Below are 21,878 nucleotides of genomic sequence, written 5' to 3'. Positions count from 1 at the left end.
GCTGCTGTGCGCTGCTGTGCTGCTGTGCGCTGCTGTGTGCTGCTGTGCTGCTATGTGCTGGCGTGCGCTGCTGTGTGCTGGCGTGCGCTGCTGTGTGCTGGCGTGCGCTGCTGTGTGCTGCTGTGTGCTGGCGTGTGCTGCTGTGTGCTGGCGTGTGCTGCTGTGCGCTGGCGTGCGCTGCTGTGTGCTGCTGTGCTGCTGTGTGCTGCTGTGCTGCTATGTGCTGGCGTGCACTGCTGTGTGCTGGCGTGCGCTGCTGTGTGCTGGCGTGCGCTGCTGTGTGCTGCTGTGTGCTGGCGTGTGCTGCTGTGTGCTGGCGTGCGCTGCTGTGTGCTGGCGTGTGCTGCTGTGTGCTGCTGTGTGCTGGCGTGTGCTGCTGTGTGCTGGCGTGTGCTGCTGTGTGCTGCTGTGCGCTGCTGTGTGCTGCTGTGCGCTGCTGTGTGCTGCTGTGCGCTGGCGTGTGCTGCTGTGTGCTGGCGTGACACCGGAGGGGGAGCGTGTTTTGTCTGGGATCCTCATGTGACACCTCAGACACTAGATGGTCCTGCCCAGACAGACGCCGGTCCAGGGTCACTGAGGGGCGTCAGGAGTATTTCCGTCTGGTCAGGTGACATCAGTGTCACATGGGCATTGCTCACAGAGGGGCCCCTGGAGGAAGGAGAGTGGCGGTCAGCACTCGATGACCTTTGGCCTCGCTTCACCGTGGGTGAGGAGCTGCCCACCGAGGAAGCCCGGGCTGGGTGTTGGGATGCGCTCCTGCCTTGGTGCCTCCACGAGGGCTGGGCATTAGGGGCCCACAGGCCGCAGCTTCAGTCCCTCTGGCCCTCTGGGTTAGTCCTGGCCCCGCCCACCAACCCTCTGGGTTAGTCCTGGGTCCTCCCTGCTCTCCTGGGTCAGTCCTGGGTCCTCCCTGCCCTCTGGGTCAGCCCTGGGTCTCCCCACTCTGCCCTCCTTTCTTAGGTGAAGGCTCTGCTCCCTTAGACTTGGGGGGAAACAGGAAGGTCTGGCTGGAACAGATGACTTTTTCTAAACCCTGAGTCCAGAGCGGCGTGGATGCCTGTGGGCACTGGCAGCTGACAGCTTGCATGAACCCAGCCTCTGCAGGGGCTCCGATGGCCCAAACCCTGTTCATGAGACAGGGACTTGCACATTCCTCCCTGAGCCTCAGGTTGACAAAGACCTGCTGGTGCCTGGGGGATGGGGAGCCCACACCTGCTCTCATGCCCGGGGGACGGGGAGCCCACACCTGCTCTCATGCCTCAGGGACAGGGAGGCCACGCCTCTTCCCGACCCCACCTCTCTTTCCTCACCCCTCAGCCCCCCCAAACAATTTAGCAGGGACCCAGGAGCCACCCAGGTCACTTCCCATCACACCTCCCTGGTGTGAGGCCACGGCTGGGGAAGGTCATTCCCAGGCTGGAGAGACTGGGCAGGGGTCACTGTCCTTTTGGGCTGTTCTCAGAGCCCACAGCAGCCGTGTCAGGCCCTGCCCGGCAACGCGGCCCCCACACAGGACCTGCTGGACCAAGGCTGCCTGCTCCTCCCAGCCCTGGGGCTCTCACCGCACAGCCTGCACACCTGTGCTCACTGCACCGTCCCTGCAGGGCAGGGAGGGCCCGCAGGCAGGAAGGGGCTGTAGACAGAATTGGTGCTCGGATCTGAGAGCTGGGCTCAGGCCGGGACAGGGTGACACCAACCGGAACGCTGCCGTGGCCGGATCGCTGCCGTGGCCGGCGGCCAATGTGGCCCCCTTCTCAGGGCTCGTTTCTGTGCATGTGGTGTTCACAGTCATCACTTAGGAAAATTCGGAACCGTGGAGATTGGTGTCCAGTCCAGGGACCTGGTGCCAGAGCCAGTGCCAGGCTGGCTTTATGGAGCCCCGCGTGTTTGTCCCACGTTTCCTGTTGGCTTAAATTCACAAACCTGGGAAATGATGATGGTTTTTATTTTTGCCAGTTCTTTTTGTTGGGGTATGACTAGCACGTTACCCACCTTGGACATCTCCAGGAAGAGCCAGTGTGTTGTGGCGAAGCCTCACGCTGGGGAGCACGGCTCACACAGGGCCCGTGTCACACAGATGGACGGGTGGGGTGGGCGGAAAGGAGCTGTTGGGTCTCTGCTGCCTCAGTCGAGTCTACGGGAACCTTTTAAAATCAAATTAGTGTCATTTCTTCTCTGTGTCTCTTGCCAGGAGTTAAAGGCATAAAGGAAAAACATAGTTTTCATGCAGTTGTATTTTCTCAAACAGTGTCAGCTTCTCTGTAAGAATCTCACGGCTCTCTTCTCTGGAAGGTGCTGTGGCAGCTGATCCACTTTGCTCCTCCCAGCCTGTAGGGTTTGGCTTTGTGGTTTGTTTTCAGTGTATTTGTTGAGTACAGTGAACATTTTCATTGCCTGATGGTAAGGATTTCATGTTTGACTGCACGAGTGCCGCGTTGCTTGAGGTAGCCTGTGGAAGTGTCCATGTTGTGAAATACACAGCGTAGGTGCAGTGACAGGCCCGCTGGCCGCCTCCCCATCCCAGTCCTCGGGGTCGCAGTTTATCTGTGTGGGTGCAGGTCCTGCGTAAAGCTTTTCATGCACATTGAATTGTTTTATGCATTTTCAAATGTAATCCTCAAGACATCTAACCGCAGGAGACAGAATGTGTGGCTGGAATTTTTATTTTTCTGTACTTCATATGAGTGTCTGTATTTCATCAAGTCTGAAATGCTGAAGACTGTCCTAGCATTGAGATAGGGTGACTGTACTTTTGTACGACTTTCTGCTTGCCCTGGGATGGTCCAGAGACGCCGGCTTTAGACATCACACGTCTGTGACAGGCCGGTGCTTCCTTCCATGAGGCCCGTCCCATCTGTGTTGGAAAGCCTTCATGTTAGGAGAGAGACTCTTGCCCTGACAGCGTCGGCTCAAAGCCGCCCACAACACCTCTCCCAGAAGAGTGGCCCCAGACTGCAGGGTCTGTGGGGTGGACACTGGGCCTAGAGGGGCTCCAGGGGGCCCAAAGTCTGCCCCTTCCCAGAATCCTGGAGCCGGCAGGAGCCTGGAGTCACCCCTGGCTGCTGCGCCAGGCTTTGCATCCTAGGCCTGAAACTCAAGTCCCTAGAAGGGGCCCTCACAGGCTTTTATTTGACACTGGGATTCTTTTAAAAATTTTTTGGTGTGTACTTAGGTAATTTACAAGCCCTTGGGGCAACTTTGGGAGCTCTATGTGATAGTGTCAAGTTTGTTAAAAGTATTTGCTAATTAAACCCACGTTCTTATTTGCTAGTGAAACCCGCGTTCTTTGGAGGGTCGGCACGTGGGTGGCAGTTAGAGAAAGTTCTCCGCTGCTCGTCTGTGGGTGACAGCCGTCCTACCTTGCTCACCTGTGCTCTCCGGGCCAGACACTGTGCAGGCCAAGCAGAGCAAGCAGCAGGTCCCGGCATTACCACGCCCGATCCTGGCGGCCCCACCACCCTCCCGCGCTGCTCCCATTCCCCACGACCTGCCGCGGCCTGTGCCCTCCAGCCTGCCTGGACCTGCTGCCTCCCGCCCCCTCCAGCTGCACACCCTCCCGGGGCCCGCCTGTGTCATCCCAAGATAGCTGAGGTCGCTCACGTCGTGGTCACAGCCTTGGGGAATTGCCTGGTCCAGGACAGTGAGCGCGAGCATAGGGCGGCCGATGGCACGGAGTGGAGCCGGCACCCCCAAGGCAGCGAGCGCGAGCACGGGGCAGCCGATGGCGCAGAGTGGAGCCGGGCACCCCCAAGGCCCCTGGCTCTCCGGGCGCAGCACCCTCACTCCAGCTGCCCCTGCGTCTTCTGTTGAGGCCCAGCACAGAAAGCAGGAGTTTGGAAAAGTTAAAGGTGCACCGGCCAGTGTCAGGCACAGCCCAGGGCAGTGGGTGGCACTCCTGAGCTTCCCACCTCGTGGCCACAGTGGCTCCCTCGGGGACACGGGAATTGGGCTGTGACTCCTGCCAGGTCGGGAGCGCTGGTGGCCAGAAGCAAGAGTGGGTGTGAAGGAAGCTGTTTCCGCAGCATCCAGGCTGGTGCCTGACACAAGAAGCAGCCCTGCACCGGGCGCTCAGGAAGCCTGCGGGAAACAGCTGGGCCTGCGGGTCCCCGGCTTGGCCCCGATATGGGACGGCCTGGGTTCCCCTCGCCATCCACCCCAGGCCAGCGCCCACGTTGCTGTTGCCCACAGCCTTGGCCCCGTCCTCACCACTCTGGCCACCAACCTGGGACCCTACCACAGGGCCCTGCCCACCTGCTCAGGGCCTGTCCGGGTGCCCCACGCATGTGGGCTGACAGACCCTCGGCCACCGCGGCGGCCCCTGTGCAGCCCTAACAGTGTTATGGACTTTGGCCCGTGTGATCAGCCGTGGACTGCGTGGCCCATGGAGTGGGGGCCGAGGCTGGGCCTGTGCCAGGAGGGTTTTTACCTTTCAGGGCCAGTTGTTGTGCCTGCCCCGTTGGCGGCTGTGGGCGGCTGTGGGCCTAGGAGGTGAGCATGGAGCTGGTTGGAGCCGGTCAGTCACCAGGCTCCCCTGGGGGTGTCCACATCCCCACCATGAAAATCTTGCTCCCCAGAGCCCTGCGTGCCTGGCCTGGTGGGTCTCAGAGCTTCCTGCCTGTGTGTGTGGGCGGCCCAGGCCTTCCCACCGGGACTCTTCAGCCTCTCTGTGCCAGGCATCTGCCAGGGACGGTGCTCCTCGTCCCCCAGGCCCTGTCTCTTGCTGCGGACCCCTGGCAGGCTCTAGGGGTGTGGCTGTGGGTGTGTTGGCGTGTGTGTATGGTGTTTGTGGGTGTCTGTGGGCGTGTGTGGGTATCTGTGGGTGTCTGGGTGTGTGGGCATCTGTGGGTGTCTCTGGGTGTGTTTGGGTATCTGGGTGTTTGTGGGTGTCTGGGTGTGTATCTGGGTGTGGGCGTGTGTGGCTGTGGGTATGTTGGGATGGTGTGTGGATGTGTTTGGGTGTGTTTGGGTATCTGGGTGTTTGTGGGTGTCTGCAGGTGTCTGGGTGTGGGTGTGTCAGGGTGTCTGGGCGTGTGAAGGTGTGTCTGGGTGTGGGTGTGTCTGGGTGTCTGTGGGCGTGTTTGGGTGTGTGGGTGTTTCTGGGTGTCTGTGGGTGTTTGGGTATCTGTGGGTGTCTGGGTGTCTGTGGATTTGTTGGATGTGTGTGGGTGTCGGTGTGTGTGGTTGTATGTGGGTGTGTGGCATGTGGGGGTGTCTGGGCGTGTGGGTGTTGGTCTATGTGTGGGTATCTGGGTGTGGGTGTGTTGGGTATGGGTGGGTGGGTATGTGGGTGTCTGTGGGTGTGGGTATGTGTCCGTGTCTGTGGGTGTGGGTGGGTGAGTGTGGGTGTATGGTGGGTGTGGGTGGGTGTGGGTCGGTGTGGGTACATGGGTGAGGGTTGGGGGCTGTGTTTGGCTGTAGGGGTGAAGTCTGTGAATGTGTGTGTCTGTGTCGGGGGGGTGGGTTGCATATATATCTGTATGTAGGGGGGCTTGCCTCACTCTTCTTTGCTCTCCCTGGGGTGGGATGCGTAGGCGTGGGCTGTGCCCGGCCTCCCTTCCTGGAAGCTCCCGGTGGGCGCTGCCTGGTTGATTCCCACGCCCCTAGCTGTTTCCCTGGGCTCCTGGCCTTGCTCGGAGTCTACACTGATGTTCTGACTTTTCCAAAAAAGACGAAGCATGTGGACAGCGGCTGGGGTCACCTCATGGTCACCCCGTGGCCCGGCTGCCCCGGCTTTGACGCTTTGCACCGTCCTCTTCTTTTGTTAATGAGGGGAGGGTGGGCAAGACGGAGGGCCTGTGCTTTCCTGGCAAGATGTGGCTGGGGACACATTGTCACAGCGGGCCCTCTCCCTCCCTTGGGGGTCTTGGCCCCCTCCCTGTCCCCAGCCTGCAGCCCAGGGGGAGCCAGGCAGCCAGTGACCTGCCAGAAAGCAGCAGGCCCCAGGCACCGTCCTCGGGATTTGGGTCGGGTCTGGGGCCAGCACCTGGCCTGTGTGATAACAGACACCAGCACACCTTCAGCCCTCCCTGGGGGCCGGCCCGGATCTTCCCACACTGTGTGGGGTGGGGCAGGACCTCACAGAGCCTCGGGAGCCGGGAGTCTGTGGGAGGTGGACCACGGGGGTGGGGAAGGGGCCTCTGGGCAGTTAATCCTGGCACCTGGCGCCTGCCCGCAGGACTGGCCATCCTCATGTGACCTGTCTGTCTCTTCGTCGTAGCACAGGCTTAGCAGGATGGTGTCGGCTGGGGCCAGACCCAGTGCTTGGGGACAGAGCTTTTGGCCACTACTGAGGTGAGGGTGGGCTCGGGAAGCCCCAGGCAGCGCACCCGTCTCTGGATACCCTCCATCCCCGAAGCCTAATGTGTTCCTTGACTTTCAGGGCGAAGCTGTGCTCAGGCCCGGGCTGGACGCAGAGCCAGAGCTGTCCCCAGAGGAGCAGAGGGTCCTGGAAAGGAAGCTGAAAAAGGAACGGAAGAAAGAGGAGAGGCAGCGTCTGCGGGAGGCAGGCCTTGTGGCCCAGCACCCGCCTGCCAGGCGCTCGGGGGCCGAACTGGCCCTGGACTACCTCTGCAGGTGAGCGGCCCTGCCCCACGCGGTTCTGTCCCGGACGTGCGTCTCAACCCCTGCCTGAGGGGGTCGAAGCCTTCACTCGCACACACTGTGTGGAAGGTTCTAGAGCAGTGAGGTATGAGCGTTCATGCCAGGCCTGTGCTGCCGCCGCTGCCCTTTCTGTCTGAATGGCCCAGAGCCTTCAGGAACTTTCAGGGGCGGCAGCAGAGCCGCTGCCCGTGCAGGGGTTGCCTGGAACTGTGCTTTTAGAAATGGGTCTGATGGTGAACCTTGCCCCAGGTGTACGTCACCACAGGAAGAATCCACGGGCCTGGGTGCTGCTTGGACGTGGGGGTGAGGAGGAGGGAACTCGTGGTGGCCTTCAGCCCTCACTCACAGTGACAGGAGGCGCCACTGCCACCCAAGAGCGGGAAGACGGGGATTGTGGGGTGCTGGGCACAGGGTGCCATCTCCCTGGCTGCCTGCGGCGTGGCTGGGTGGATGGTGCCTGCGGCGTGGCTGGGTGGACGGTGCAGGATTGCAGGGGTCAGAGGCTTTGGCGTGGGCTCCACAGCCTTGCGGGCTGTGGCCACCTCCCCGGCGCTTACCAGCACAGGCTGCTGCCCGTTCCTGTCCGTCTCCCTGAGTGCTGACTGCACCTAGAATAAGGGGTGTCACGGCGTCCACGTGGCTGGCTTCCTCAGAGACAAGAACTGGGTCCCTGTGATGAAGTCACCCTGAGGGGCAGGGTGTCCTGTGGGGGCACTGGCCCTGCCTGGGAGGACAGGCTCCAGCCGCACCTCTGTGGGAGGCCCTCGGAGAGATGACCTCCTCGGAGAGATGACCCCCAGTGTGGCTGTGCAGCTAGCGGAATGAGCAGCGGGGCCTGCGTGGATGTGCACGCTGCGTGCACGTGCACGTGTACGTGTGTGCATGTGTGTACGTGTGTGCATGTGTATGTGTGTGTGTGTGCGTGTATGTGTGTTCGCATGGGTGTGTGTGCACGCATGTGTGTTCGCATGAGGGGGTGTGCGTGTGCATGTATGCGCATGTGTATACGTGTGTTGTGTACGTGTGTGCATGTGTATACGAGTGTTGCGTACACGTGTGTGCGTGTGTTTACGTGTGTGCGTGTGTATACACGTTGTGTATATGTGCGTGTGTACATGTATACACGTGTGTACATGTGCGTGTGTGCGTGTGTGTTTATGCACGTGTGTGTTTATGTGTGGACATGTGTGTTGTGTGTGCATCCCCAGGACGGTCCTCCACCTACAGGAGAGGGGCTCTTGGCTGCCCTGCACCAGGCTCAGCGCCGGGCTCAGGAAATGGGGATGGGGGCAAGCCTCCTGTTTCTCGGAGCTGAGGCTGCCTTGGGGGTCATAGAATGAGCTCAGCCATAGCGTTGGGTGGATCCGGCTGGAACCAGTTGAGTCATCATGGGTCTCTGCACTGGTCAGTTCTCTGGGAGGCTTAGCTTCCCTCTCCCTGAGGAACGTGGGGCTGAGGCCAGGTGCCCAGGGCTACCCCAAGAGCTCTTTCTTGCTCCAAGAACGCGCTTGGCCCAGGGGACCCAAGGTGCTGGCTGTGGTGTGAGGCTGCTGCCTCCTGCGCTTGCTCCTGCTTCTCTGCAGGCAGGGCCACAAGCCACCGCAGGGTCAGTCGCTGTAGACAGAGAGGGCTTCAGAGGCCGTTAGTGCAGCGTCTCGAGCCCAGGTGTGGGCAAGGTGTGGGCTGGGCAGAGCAGGTGGACACAGGCCTGGAAGGTGCCAGCCGCAGGAATGGACTGTAGGCTCCCTGTGGGAGGCAGAGGGCGACTGGGGCCTGCAGCTGTGCCACCTGCACCTTGCCTGTCTCCACTGGCAGGTGCCTCGGGGCGTGGCTGTTCTGGACCTGCCCTGATGCCTGGGGTGGGCGGGGTTTGTCCGCCTTCCTCCCCAGGCCTGCCAGCACCTTCCGCTGCTCTCAGTGTGGACTGTTAGACAAGGGGGACGTTGGGGACGTGGGCAGGAGAGGGGGGACCATCCGCTCCACCACGTGGCTGCCACTCCCTGGTCTTCACCCTGGAGGCGCCCTGACTCCCCTCCCATGATCACACACCCTCCGAGCACCCCACGGGAAGGTCCTGAGTGCCTGGGAGCATGCCCTGCTCCTGTCCTCAGCCTCACCCTCCTCTCCCCCTCTGGGACCTTCCCGTGGCCCCCTCATGCTACTCGCAACCCCCCAGCGGCAAGTCCTGTGCGGAGGCACTGTGTCCTGCGTGTGGGAGGAGGGGGGACTCTTACTTCTCAGAAACAAAGCAGCCCCTTCCCACAGGAGCTTCTTCCAAGGCCTGGGATCCACACACCAGGAGGCCAGCCACAGACACGGGCACCCCGGCAGGAGCTTCTCCTCTTTCCTGGGGGTCTCCAAGGGTGCCCGCAAGCCCAGCCGCATCTGGCTGCCAGATCAGAGCCCACGTGGATGTGTGGAGCCCACGGTATCCCTGGCAACTCAGGGTTTTCCAAAGAGAGGGAGCCCGGGGATTCCCACAGGGGAGTGTCCTCAGCCTGGGGGCTGCTGGGGACCACTGGCCACGCCACGGCTGGCCCACCACAGAGCCCCCAGCCCAGGGGCAGCGGTGAAGGTAGGTGCCCGAGTTGTCCTCCCCCTGCAGAGGCCCTGGACTGGGACTCAGGAAGGACATGCTGGCCGCCGTGGCCCATGGCCATCTTATGGGCTTTCCACGAGGGGTTCCTCCTGGAGGCAAAGCCATCTGCAGCCAGGTGGGCTGTGTGTGGAGGAGACCCCGGATTGTTCTGGTGAGCCCTCATGGTGGAGAGTTTCCTCTCATCTCTCTGGGAGGCACCCCACCCATTCCAGGATGCCCTGGGGGTCTCCCCTCCAGATCCCCCGAAGGCTCTGCCCCCAAGACACGTCGACCCAGCGCCCGTGGGGTCTTCATGCCCCGTCCCTAGAACCCGGGTCGCAGGCTGGGCAGCATCCCCACACGGTGACCTTGGCCTGTGACCTGTGACCATACCCTGGGCTGTTCTTGCATCTCAAGGGTTCATCTTCTCTGCAGCCTTCCTGGGGTGCTCCTGGCTTTGTGTGAAGCTGGGGCTGGTGGGAGCTGTGCAGCAGGGCTGGGGAGAGGAGGGTCCAGAGGGTGGGATGGGGGATTGTGGCCGTCATGCGCTCTTTCCCTGCGCTGTGGCCGTCGTGTGCTCTTTCCCTGCAATGTGGCCATCGTGCGCTCTTTGTCTGCGCTGTGACCGTCATGCGCTCTTTCCCTGCAGTATGACCGTCGTGCGCTCTTTCCCCGCGCTGTGGCCGTCGTGCGCTCTTTCCCCGCGCTGTGGCCGTCGTGCGCTCTTTCCCCGCGCTGTGGCCGTCGTGCGCTCTTTCCCTGCGCTGTGGCCGTCGTGCGCTCTTTCCCTGCGCTGTGGCCGTCGTGTGCTCTTTCCCTGCAGTATGGCCGTCGTGCGCTCTTTCCCTGCGCTGTGGCCGTCGTGTGCTCTTTCCCTGCGCTGTGGCCGTCGTGTGCTCTTTCCCTGCGCTGTGGCCGTCGTGCGCTCTTTCCCTGCAGTATGGCCGTCGTGCGCTCTTTCCCTGCGCTGTGGCTGTCGTGCGCTCTTTCCCTGTGCTGTGACCGTCGTGTGCTCTTTCCCTGCACTGTGGCCGTCGTGTGCTCTTTCCCTGTGCTGTGACTGTCCCCTCGTTTTCCCAGCAGGGGCCCCAGGCTTGGTCACCCAGCTCTGTTTTTCCAGCTCAGAGCCGTGTTGCTCTGGCCTTGCATAGGCGGAAGTTTGGGAGTGCTGGAAGCAGTCCCTCCACTTTCTGTGGGTCTCTGGGTTGCTGGGTCCACTGTGGTAGTTACACGAGCGAGGCACACGGCTGTCAGCGGGCAAGCCTGTTCCTCATTAAAGAGAAAAAAGAGTTTATTTATATGCTTAACGCAGGAAATTGAAGATTTACTTTCCATATAACTGAAAAAAGAAAAGAACACGCCTGCTGGGTGTTCACGTTGGGGGCAGGTGGCGAGGTGACCGCTGCCTCCCTGGTCCCTGCAGGCTTTAGCTCACCATTTTCGGGGGCCGGCCCCCTGCCTGGGTCTGCTCGAGGCGGGAGGTGGTGCCCCCACAGGAGAGAGAGGAACTGGGACCCGGGCCACACGGATCCAGCCGGGACGGGGTCCCCCACTCACCTGCGGGAGGACGAGAGCAAGTCACTCCTGCCGTGGGGCAGCCCAAGCCCACCCTCCTCAGGTCCCCATGTTGCCCAGCACAGCATGGTGTCTTAGCTTCCTTGCACCCCGTGGCCTCCGGGCCTGGAACCCTGGAATGACAGGCCAGAGCAGAGGCCAAACTGTCCCATCAGCGGAGCTTAGGGGACACTTCTTGGGTGTCCTTCCCTACCCAGGCCCACTGCCCCGCTGCCGAGGGACAGCCCAGCTCCAAGTATGGGAGGAGCGGCCAACCCATGAGACCCGGCCCCTGTCCGCGCCAGCCCCGCTCGGGCCTTCATGGGCATTGGGTCGTCAGCTCACCGCGGCTGGCAGTTCCTGGTGCAGTTACGAGCACGTGGACGCTGTGGCTGCGGGCCGGCTTCAGATGCTGTCTCAATAGAGACCCTCGCTCAGTTTTCTTTTGGAAGGGGGTTCAGCAAGAAGTCCCCGCTTTTTGTGGGTTGATTTGTTTGTTTTGAGATGGAGTCTCACTCTGTCGCCAGGCTGGAGTGCAGTGGTGCAATCTCGGCTCACTGCAACCTCTGCTTCCCAGGTTCAAGCGATTCTCCTGCCTCAGCCTCCTGAGTAGCTGAGATTACAGGCATCCGACACCACGCCCGGCTAATTTTTTGTATTTTTAGTAGAGACAGGGTTTCACCGTATTAACCAAGATGGTCTTAGTCTCCTGACCTTGTGATCCGCCCTCGGCCTCCCAAAGTGCTCAGCTTACAGGCATGAGCCACTGTTCCCAGCCGCCCCTGCTTTTTTTTAAAGCCCAGTAGGCTAGCAGGGACTCTGGTTCTCCACCCAGCTGGTGAGTACCACAGGGGAGGAGGTTCTTCTCTCTGGGACGCTCTAGGCAGCTCTGGACAGATGACCCTGCAGTGGCCGTGGCCCCCGCTATGCTGGGGACAAGGGACTTCCCTCTGACTGCTCTCTTTCCTTTTCCAAGATGGGATCTCCTGTCTGCTGCCCCACCTAGGCAGAGAGAAAGAGGATTGTGTCAGGCATCCTGTGAACTGTCTGCAGTTGCGCAGGGACCAGTCCCCAGGGTGGGTGGCAGAGGCGGCCATCACTCAGGAGGCCTCGCCCAGTGCCGTGGGAGCCACAGGCGACACTGAGCACCCCACCCGCCCCTCGCTGTGTCTGCTCCCCCAGTGACGAGGCCAAGAGCGGGACGGCTCATCTTCGGTGGTGAGGGAGATGGGCTTGGCTTGAAGTCTGCCTGGTGGGGGCTCGGTGAGAGAGAGGCGCCCTTGGTTCAGGGCCGTAGGCAGCAGTGCCGTGGGCCAGCAGTGCTGTGGCCTCGGGCCCCATGGGAGGGCAGTGTGCAGAGCAGCTGTGACTGACTCACCGTGCGTGGGCTCTGGGAACACCCGTGAAGTGGGGTCACCACTCCACGTTCCCAAGGAGGAAACAGGCTGGTGGAAAGCAGCAGCTCAAGGTGGGAGAGTTAGAAAGTGGCAGAGCTGAGATGCCAACTTCTGCCCTGCAGCAGTAAAACAGCCCCCAGCAGGCAGATGCCATGGCCTGGCTGGCCCGGGTGCACCTCACAGGGGCCCACGCTGGCCGGGTCGGCCATCCGGGGAGCAGACGACGAGGGGCTGTCTAAAAAGAAAGGAACTAAAATTAAACCTCCCTGGAGGCCCCTCTCATCACGCAGGAGCCCTGCGTCACTGCACATGGGGCTGGCGTGTCACCTAGCAGCTGCACAGCTGGGCTCCACACCCGCAGGACTCCCCACCCGCAGGACTCCACTCACCCACAGGACTCCCCACCCACAGGACTCCACTCACCCACAGGACTCCACTCACCCACAGGACTCCCCACCCACAGGACTCCACTCACCCACAGGACTCCACTCACCCACAGGACTCCCCACCCACAGGACTCCAAACCCACAGGACTCCACTCACCCACAGGACTCCACTCACCCACAGGACTCCCCACCCACAGGACTCCAAACCCACAGGACTCCACTCACCCAAGGACTCCCCACCCACAGGACTCCACTCACCCACAGGACTCCACTCACCCACAGGACTCCCCACCCGCAGGACTCCACTCACCCACAGGACTCCCCACCCACAGGACTCTACTCACCCACAGGACTCCCCACCCGCAGGACTCCACTCACCCACAGGACTCCCCACCCGCAGGACTCCACTCACCCACAGGACTCCCCACCCACAGGACTCCCCACCCACAGGACTCCACTCACCCACAGGACTCCACTCACCCAAGGACTCCCCACCCACAGGACTCCCCACCCACAGGACTCCACTCACCCACAGGACTCCACTCACCCGCAGGACTCCCCACCCGCAGGACTCCACTCACCCACAGGACTCCCCACCCACAGGACTCCACTCACCCACAGGACTCCACTCACCCACAGGACTCCCCACCCACAGGACTCCCCACCCACAGGACTCCACTCACCCACAGGACTCCACTCACCCACAGGACTCCACTCACCCGCAGGACTCCACTCACCCGCAGGACTCCACTCACCCACAGGACTCCCCACCCACAGGACTCCACTCACCCACAGGACTCCACTCACCCACAGGACTCCCCACCCGCAGGACTCCACTCACCCACAGGACTCCCCACCCACAGGACTCCACTCACCCACAGGACTCCCCACCCACAGGACTCCACTCACCCACAGGACTCCACTCACCCACAGGACTCCCCACCCGCAGGACTCCACTCACCCACAGGACTCCCCACCCGCAGGACTCCACTCACCCACAGGACTCCCCACCCACAGGACTCCACTCACCCACAGGACTCCACTCACCCACAGGACTCCACTCACCCACAGGACTCCCTACCCACAGGACTCCAAACCCACAGGACTCCACTCACCCAAGGACTCCCCACCCACAGGACTCCACTCACCCACAGGACTCCCCACCCGCAGGACTCCACTCACCCACAGGACTCCCCACCCACAGGACTCCACTCACCCACAGGACTCCACTCACCCAAGGACTCCCCACCCACAGGACTCCCCACCCACAGGATTCCACTCACCCACAGGGCTCCACTCACCCACAGGGCTCCACTCACCCGCAGGACTCCACTCACCCGCAGGACTCCACTCACCCGCAGGACTCCCCACCCACAGGACTCCCCACCCGCAGGACTCCACTCACCCACAGGGCTCCACTCACCCGCAGGGCTCCACTCACCCGCAGGACTCCACTCACCCACAGGGCTCCACTCACCCACAGGACTCCCCACCCACAGGACTCCACTCACCCACAGGACTCCCCACCCACAGGACTCCACTCACCCACAGGACTCCACTCACCCACAGGACTCCCCACCCACAGGACTCCCCACCGGCAGGACTCCACTCACCCACAGGACTCCCCACCCACAGGACTCCATTCACCCACAGGACTCCCCACCCACAGGGCTCCACACCCACAGGATTCCCTACCCACAGGACTCCCCACCCACAGGATTCCACTCACCCACAGGGCTCCACTCACCCACAGGACTCCACTCACCCGCAGGACTCCACTCACCCGCAGGACTCCACTCACCCACAGGACTCCCCACCCACAGGACTCCCCACCTGCAGGACTCCACTCACCCACAGGACTCCACTCACCCACAGGGCTCCACTCACCCACAGGACTTCCCACCCACAGGACTCCACTCACCCAGAGGACTCCCCACCCACAGGACTCCCCACCCGCAGGACTCCACTAACCCACAGGACTCCCCACCCACAGGACTCCACTCACCCACAGGACTCCCCACCCACAGGACTCCACTCACCCACAGGACTCCACTCACCCACAGGACTCCCCACCCGCAGGACTCCCCACCCGCAGGACTCCCCACCCACAGGACTCCACTCACCCACAGGACTCCCCACCCACAGGACTCCACTCACCCACAGGACTCCCCACCCACAGGGCTCCACACCCACAGGACTCCCTACCCACAGGACTCCCCACCCACAGGACTCCACTCACCCGCAGGACTCCACTCACCCACAGGACTCCCCACCCACAGGACTCCACTAACCCACAGGACTCCCCACCCGCAGGACTCCCCACCCGCAGGACTCCACTCACCCACAGGACTCCACTCACCCACAGGACTCCCCACCCGCAGGACTCCCCACCGGCAGGACCCCCCACCCGCAGGACTCCACTCACCCACAGGACTCCCCACCCACAGGGCTCCACTCACCCACAGGACTCCCCACCCACAGGATTCCACTCACCCACAGGACTCCACTCACCCGCAGGACTCCACTCACCCACAGGACTCCCCACCCACAGGACTCCACTCACCCACAGGAATCCCCACCCACAGGACTCCACTCACCCACAGGACTCCCCACCCACAGGACTCCACTCACCCACAGGACTCCCCACCCACAGGGCTCCACACCCACAGGACTCCACTCACCCACATGGCAGTGGGGTCAGGCAAGCTGGGCAGCGCTCACAACAGGCACAGGGCCCTCCCCCGTGCTGAGCCTACAGTCTTCAGACCTGGGCTTGCACACTGATGGAGGCTTCTGGGCTCGGCTGCCCTGCCTGGCCCTGGAAACACGTATCTGGGAGGAGGTCTCTGGAGTAAACCCTGCCTGGCCCTGCCCTACCCACAGCGCCAGCTTCGCTCCATCCGCAGCTGCCTGATGTCCACAGGCCCTAGTGCAGGAGCGGGACGGGGGCGGGGTGGTTGTGGCCCTGGGGAGCGGCCCCTCTAGCAGCCGGGAGCTGCTCGTCCCCAGGCCCACTGGCCCCTTGTTGTGAGGGCCTGGGACTCAGGGTATTGTTCCTTACAGTCTTCCCATTTTCATGTAGAAAATACATCATCAATTACATCGCTCCCTTTCCTCCCAGAGAAACTCACTTCATCCTTCCCCCCCTGTAAAATCCGTGTGACCCATGGGGTGGGGGAGCCCACGGGGACTTGGGGTCAGTGGTGAGCCCCGGGGTGGCCAAGGTAAGAGTGGCGTCCACATGCTTCCTGGTCAGGCGGCAGCAGGGCGTGGGGTTGCGGCTCCTCGCCTCGGGCAGGGGAGGGGCTCCAAAAACCCTCTTCACATGAGGCCTTGGTGTGTAGTACCTGGTGGGGCTCCCTCTCCTAAGATGAGGCGTCCCCGATCTCTCAGGGCAGACAGCTGCCCGGGAGTCTTTTGCCCAGCACCCTGAGATGTTTGTCTTTCTTTCCCTAGATGGGCCCAAAAGCACAAGAACTGGAGGTTTCAGAAGACGAGGCAGACGTGGCTCCTGCTGCACATGTATGACAGTGACAAGGTGTGTGCACGGCGGGGCAGGCACGTCTCCTGGGGGCTGAGGTCTGTGCACGGCGGGGCAGGCACGTCCCCCCGGGGGCTGAGGTGTGTGCACGGCGGGGCAGGCACGTCTCCCGGGGGCTGAGGTGTGTGCACGGCGGGGCAGGCACGTCTCCCGGGGGCTGAGGTCTGTGCACGGCGGGGCAGGCACGTCTCCTGGGGGCTGAGGTCTGTGCACGGCGGGGCAGGCACGTCTCCTGTGCACACTGGGGCCCTGACAGCAGAAGCCACAGTCTGAAGGGGCCGCCCTCAGGGCCCCACTGCAGGGCAGGTCTCCCGGTGCCTTTGTTCTAAGAGATGAGCAGCGTTGCCTCCTCCAGGAGCCCTGCCGCCGGCCTTCAGGGCAGAAACCAACACGGGGTAACCTTAGGGAGGCCACCTGCACGTGTGCGTGTGACGTGTGTCTACACGTGCGTGTGTGCATGACGTGTGTCTACACGTGTGTGCGCGTGATGTGTGTCTACACATGTACGTGTGGGCAGCTGCCCTTTTCAGGGGCAGGATGTGAGATAGAGTTTCACAGGATGAAACGAGACAGAATTCTGAACTAAACCCGGCTGCTGGGCGGCGGGCTGGAGCTGCCCATGTCCTGTGAGGCTGGAGGAGCCCACGGTTCTGCTGAGCTGCATCCGGTGGGCAGTGCCTCCTGCCTCGCTGGCTCTCCTGCGCCCACGTTACTAGAGGCCAGGCTTTGCGTGCGCGCTGGGGGCAGGGGGCGGTTTTCTCCTGCCGTGCCTGTGTTTGCAGACTCTCAGAGCGGGGCAGGCCCACCAGCCCCACTCACAGCCCTGGGACATTCCAGGCATAGCCTGCAGCCACTTGCTTTCATTATTTTGTTGTTTTTGTTTTTTTGTGGGCGTTTTTTGAGACAGGGCCCCGCCCAGGCTGGAGTGCAGTGACACGACCACAGTTCACTGCAGCCTCGACCTCCTGGGCTCAAGCCACTCTCCCTCCTCAGAGTTAGAGGACATACACATTGCAAGCCCTATTGCAAGCCGATTGTAAGCCCTATTGCAAGCTCCGGTAATCGCGACACTGGGGCAGGCACAAGGGTGGAAGTAGAATTGACTGGAACAGCCTGGGAAGCCTGGAAACCCTCACGCCCGGCGCAGCTGATTCCAGCATGCGGGCCAAGCCTGTTCCATGTGGAGGAAACCTCTTCTTAACAGAGCCAGGGACAACTGGGTTTCCACGTTTTGTTTTGTTTTAACCAAAGTTTACGTGGTTTTATTTATATGTTACTATTACCAAAAGTAAACTTTATACAAAACTTTTTATACAGAAAAATAATCCTTGGTTAGGCAAATCCTTGGTTAGCCATTTATATGTGTGTATACACACACACACACACGCAAAGTTATCTTACACTATTGTAATTAAACATATTTACAAACACACAAATGTGCATTTTACTTATACATTTTTATTTCATATGTAACCGTACATATTTACGAACATGCCGATACTTAATGCACGCAGCCCCCAGCTTCAAACCATATGCAAAAATTAACTCAAAATGGATCAGAGACTTAAATTTAAAAGCTAAAACCAAAACTCTTAGATGAAAGCCTAAGAGTCCATTTCGTGCCCTTGGGTGAGGCAACAGTTTCTTAAATGTGACTCTAGAAGCACAAGCGACAAAGGAAAAAGTCGAGAAAGTGCCTTCATCAGGATCTAAGACTGTGTAGCCGGGCGTGGTGGCTCACGCCTGTAATCCCAGCACTTTGGGAGTCTGAGGCGGGTGGATCACTTGAGGTCAAGAGTTCGAGACCAGCCTGGCCAACATGGCAAAAACCCCGTCTCTACTAAAAATACAAAAATTAGCTAGGTGTGGTAATGCTTGCCTATAATCCCAGCTACTTGGGAGGCTGAGGCAGGAGAATTACTTGAACCTGGGAGGTGGAGATCGTGCCACTGCACTGCAGCCTGGACAACAGAGCAAGACCGGCTCAAAAAAAAAAAAAAAAAAAAAAAGAATCTAAGACTTTGCACTGCATACAGAACTAGCTGGAAAGTGAAATGGTTGCTACAGAATGGGAGACGTTTGCAAGTCCCACATGGAATTAGAACTCTGCTAACTCAATAATAAAAAGAGCCCAGTGTTGAAAGCCGCTGCCACAGGGACCTGAGGAAACGTGCCTGCAGAGCAGATTGTCAGGTGACTGGTGAGCCTGTGCAGAGGTGCCCCCACCACCAGCAGACAAGGGTCAGGCCACCAAGAGATGCCACCTGGCCACTGCCGCCCTGAGCAGAAAGGCGAGCGTGCCAAGTGCCGGCGCGTACTTGGCTTTTTGTTCTGAATGCACCTTTCATCACCGCCTACCCCTGTTTAATTTGTGTCGTATTTTCTCGTTTTTCTGAGGATTTTTACGATGTTTGTGAAATGTTCTCCCCACATGGCTTCTGTTTTACCCAGGTTAATTGAGTGTTTTGTCTGCCTCTAAACAGGCATTTCTTCTTCCAGTGTCTGGGGCAGGGTCTGTGGCCAGGCCGCCCACACCCTCGGGCCGCAGTGGGAGGACGGAAGCCTGAGGCCCGGGTGTCCTTGGCTGCAGCGTCTTGTCTCCTGCTGTTCAGCGGCCCCTCCCTGCCCCGCCCCTGACCAACTCGATCTCTTTCCCGTCCAGGTTCCCGATGAGCACTTCTCCACCCTGCTGGCCTACCTGGAGGGGCTGCAGGGCCGGGCCCGAGAGCTGACGGTGCAGAAGGCGGAAGCCCTGATGCGGGAGCTGGATGAGGAGGGCTCTGATCCCCCCCTGCCGGGGAGGGCCCAGCGCATCCGACAGGTGCTGCAGCTGCTCTCCTAGTGGGTTCAGCGCGGGGCGGGGCCGCTGCCCAGTGCAGGGCTGCCTCAGACCACACAGGGTGCAGCTCCTCCGGCGGTGGGGGCCGGGTTCACCAGCAGGGCAGCGGCTGAGCAAGGGCTTTCAGCTCCTCCGGTGGTGGGGGCCGGGATCACCAGCACCAGAGCCTCGCAAGGGCCCCTTCCCTCCTCCAGACCCTCCTTGGCCGGTGACGGCTGTGACAGTGATGGCAGGTTCAGTGCCTTCAGCGCAGAGCGTGGATGCTCTGGAATCACCCGGACCCCTGGCCTTGGAGGGACCCTCCAGCCCCAGGAATCTGCTTTGGAGGGAAATGTCTATTTTTCTACCGGGAATATTTTAGAGATTGGGGCATGCTGGCTCCTCCCGCCAGCTGCAAACCTGCACCTTCCGCCTGATTCCCGATCCCCCTGCGTGGGCCGCATTCCTGGTCCCCTGCCTGCGTCCATCGAGGGGCCTGGCTGTGGCCTGTTTTCCTTTGACCCCACACAGCGTCATTGCGGGTCATGGGGAGCCCCTGGTGGGAGCTTGTGGAGTCGGATCACGTACCTGTGCAGAAACCGCCTCTGTGGCTGCATTTGAAATAAAACCCGACCCAGCAGCAGCCGTGGGTCCTGCTCTGTGCGGTGCGTCCCCTGCCTGTGGACTGCGGAATTCGTGTCCCCCATGCCAGCGCACGCCAGGCTGAGACCCCGCCCTTGGTGGCCACCCCAGGATGGCATTGGGGGCGCTCTGTGTGTGGCGTTCCTGGCAGTGGGTGCTGGCTGATCGCTTGCGTTCAGGCCGGCCGTTTCCCAGCGCTGGCAGTGACTGACCCTGCCAGGAAACACACTTAGGCCGCACAGAATCAAGCCACACACTTCCTGTTCCCAGCAGCACGTGGTCCCTGCCCCCAAGTGATGTGAGGTGCCGCGGGGCACCGGGAAGGCCGTGGTGACCGCAGAGCTCTGGGCAGCTGCCGGGGAGGGCCGGGTGGCCATGGCGAGGAGGTCCGTGCCCCACTGTGAGGCCAAGTCTGTTCCAGGATGGGCCCCGGGGAGGGCTGAGGCCAGTGGCTCCGGTCTGGGCCTCCACAGAGCAGACACCCAGGTGCTGCTGCCCCGGGGCCGCCTCCTGCCCAGCCCAGGTTGGGGGTTTGTGCTGCCGTCTCAGTGCTCCCCCAACTGACGGTGGAGCAGAAAAGTAGCTGCAGCCGCCACCTGGCAGCCTTGGGACGCTGGCTCAGGCCCTGAGTGCCCCCTTGGGTGCCCCGCCCCCCAACAGAGCTCCTGAGGCTGAGGTCAGGCTGCCTGCCTTGGCTGCCACCAACGCACAGAGCTGCATGCAAGCCGGGAGGCGGGAGCACGGCCGGCCTCACCCTGTGAGAGCAGAGTCACAGGCTCCGGGCTGTTGTTGTGGGGAGGGCCTGGGGCTTCCCGTGGCCACTGCTGGCCTGGCTGGGCCTCCTCAGCCGTGGCCCTCGGGGCCTGCACCTCAGAGCGGTGACTGGCCTCACTGTGACCCACGGACGTCTACTGTGACTTCCTCCTTAGCTCCCTGAAGACACCCAGGGCTGGGCTAAGATGTGGTCTGGGCAGGTCTGGCTGACCACTCAGGCCATCTCTATGTGGACATCGAGACTCGGGGCCGGAGGAGACCCTAAGGACCGTGTCCCCAGGTCCTCTCTGCACCCACCAAGCTGTGGGAAGGAGATGAGGCTGTTTGCTCTTCCTTGGCCAGCATCCAGCCCCGTCCCCCAACTGTTGTGGCCAAAATTCTGACCACCCACGACACAGGGCCTGCTGTGTGCACCCCACTGGCCCAGGGCGGGCCTTGCCGGCGGCAGGCGAGGAGTCCAGCCCCTCCTGGTGTCGGTCAGGTGAACTCACAAACAGGAAGGCACGTTGCACAGCACGAACCTTCAGATCTGCCAGGCGGTGCCTGCGATCCGGCTGCTGGCAGCACAGCTTTGCAGAGAAGCTGCTGGGAAGGGTCCGTGTTCAGCCCAGCAGTCAGGGTGCTCAGTGGCCCCTATGCTGTGAGGCACCTTAAACAAACAGCAGAGGGAGACCCGCAAAGTGCAAAGAAGGGGCAGCAGCCTCCAGAAGGCAGGGCTGATGGATCCGGAACCAGAGCTCTGAGCTTCCCAGCAGCCGAGTCAGAAAGGGAAATGGGGTGGGTACTGCTGAGTCCTCACCGACCATTAGTGGGAAAAGGTCTTGAAGACCTGGGCCTCCCTTCGACAGCACAGATGCTCCCCTGACACCGGCTGGGGAGTGCTCTCCTGTCAGGGGTTCCCACCTCTGTGGATCGTAAGGTGCCAAGCTCCTCAGGGCTCCCTGGCGAAAGATGCCGAAGGGTGGCGCAGAGAAGTCACCTGGAATGTGGCTCAGAGAACCACGCAATGCCCTGGGGTCTCCCTACCCCGTGCAGGTCAGTGAGGGCACCCGCCCATGCAACCCCAGGGGCCAGCCACGTCGGGCCACATGTGCTGGGGCTGTGTGTGCCAGAGAACGGGCTGTGAGTCCCTGTCTCAGCTGGCGCTTGTGCGGGACTCCTGAGCCAGGAAGCCTCCGGCTAAGGAAGCCCCGCCTTAGCCTGGAGACGACCCTCACGTCCGTCCCTCACGTCTGTCCCTCGGCAAGTGCTCCTCACTGTGGAGAGGGCAGCTGCTGACCTGCAGCAAGCCAGGTGGCGGATCAAGATTTGTGCCAAGTGAGGGGCCAAACTTAGCGTGGGCATGCGTGCTTTTCTCTTTACATGTGTCCAAGGCCATAAGCGATGGGCTGTGACAAAGCACATCTGGGCTGAGCTCAGGGAGAAATGTCCCCTGCAGTAGATATGCAAGTGTGTGCAGGTGTCAGAAACACCAAGCCACACACTGATAACTCATGCCGGGTGCGGCGGCTCACACCTGTAACTCAGCACTTTGGGAGGCAGAGGCGGGAGGATCGCTTGAGCTCAGGAGTTTGAGACCAGCCTGGGC

General features: G+C 61.4%; 1 protein-coding gene and 1 long non-coding RNA gene across 18 annotated transcripts in view, besides 3 other annotated features; one reads left to right on the top strand and one right to left on the bottom strand.

Annotated features, from left to right (window-relative positions):
- The window catches only part of CHLSN (cholesin), a 160,294-nt gene that overhangs the window by 121,735 nt on the left and 16,681 nt on the right, over positions 1 to 21,878 (top strand). For 5 of the 17 annotated variants that reach the window (NR_156697.2, NR_188533.1, NM_001424326.1 and 2 more), the window contains 3 exons: positions 6,380 to 6,573; positions 15,972 to 16,053; positions 18,719 to 18,877. Coding sequence is in view for 10 of the 17 variants with exons in the window: in NM_001424326.1 (NP_001411255.1) it covers positions 6,380 to 6,573; positions 15,972 to 16,053; positions 18,719 to 18,877 (435 nt within the window). In the remaining 7 variants the exon portion in view is untranslated. Of the gene's footprint in view, positions 1 to 6,222; positions 6,292 to 6,379; positions 6,574 to 15,971; positions 16,058 to 18,718; positions 19,537 to 21,878 lie in introns of those variants that run through there. The other 12 variants (NR_134537.2, NM_001318252.2, NM_001350969.2 and 9 more) reach the window with 8 other exon arrangements.
- On the bottom strand, positions 10,452 to 12,364 carry LOC124901570 (uncharacterized). Its single transcript, XR_007060184.1, has 3 exons — positions 12,111 to 12,364; positions 11,078 to 11,734; positions 10,452 to 10,735 (listed from the first exon to the last, which is right to left on the bottom strand). It is a non-coding gene; the product is annotated as an uncharacterized LOC124901570 (long non-coding RNA).
- Positions 16,699 to 17,288: an enhancer, noted in NCBI's record as "H3K27ac-H3K4me1 hESC enhancer chr7:1038871-1039460 (GRCh37/hg19 assembly coordinates)". NCBI's record gives its function as "activates a minimal SCP1, AML or CMV promoter by ChIP-STARR-seq in primed H9 embryonic stem cells {active_cell/tissue: H9 hESC(primed)}" and the evidence as "EXISTENCE:reporter gene assay evidence [ECO:0000049][PMID:30033119]".
- Positions 18,745 to 19,285: an enhancer, noted in NCBI's record as "H3K4me1 hESC enhancer chr7:1036874-1037414 (GRCh37/hg19 assembly coordinates)". NCBI's record gives its function as "activates a minimal SCP1, AML or CMV promoter by ChIP-STARR-seq in primed H9 embryonic stem cells {active_cell/tissue: H9 hESC(primed)}" and the evidence as "EXISTENCE:reporter gene assay evidence [ECO:0000049][PMID:30033119]".
- Positions 20,782 to 20,831: an enhancer, noted in NCBI's record as "active region_25484". NCBI's record gives its function as "activates an Ori minimal core promoter by ATAC-STARR-seq in GM12878 lymphoblastoid cells {active_cell/tissue: GM12878}" and the evidence as "EXISTENCE:reporter gene assay evidence [ECO:0000049][PMID:35858748]".

The sequence above is a fragment of the Homo sapiens genome, chromosome 7 (genome assembly GCF_000001405.40).
Source record: "Homo sapiens chromosome 7, GRCh38.p14 Primary Assembly".
NCBI lineage: Eukaryota > Metazoa > Chordata > Mammalia > Primates > Hominidae > Homo > Homo sapiens.
The sequence above is the reverse complement of the archived record's forward strand: the minus strand, read 5'-3'. Positions and strand labels throughout refer to the sequence as shown.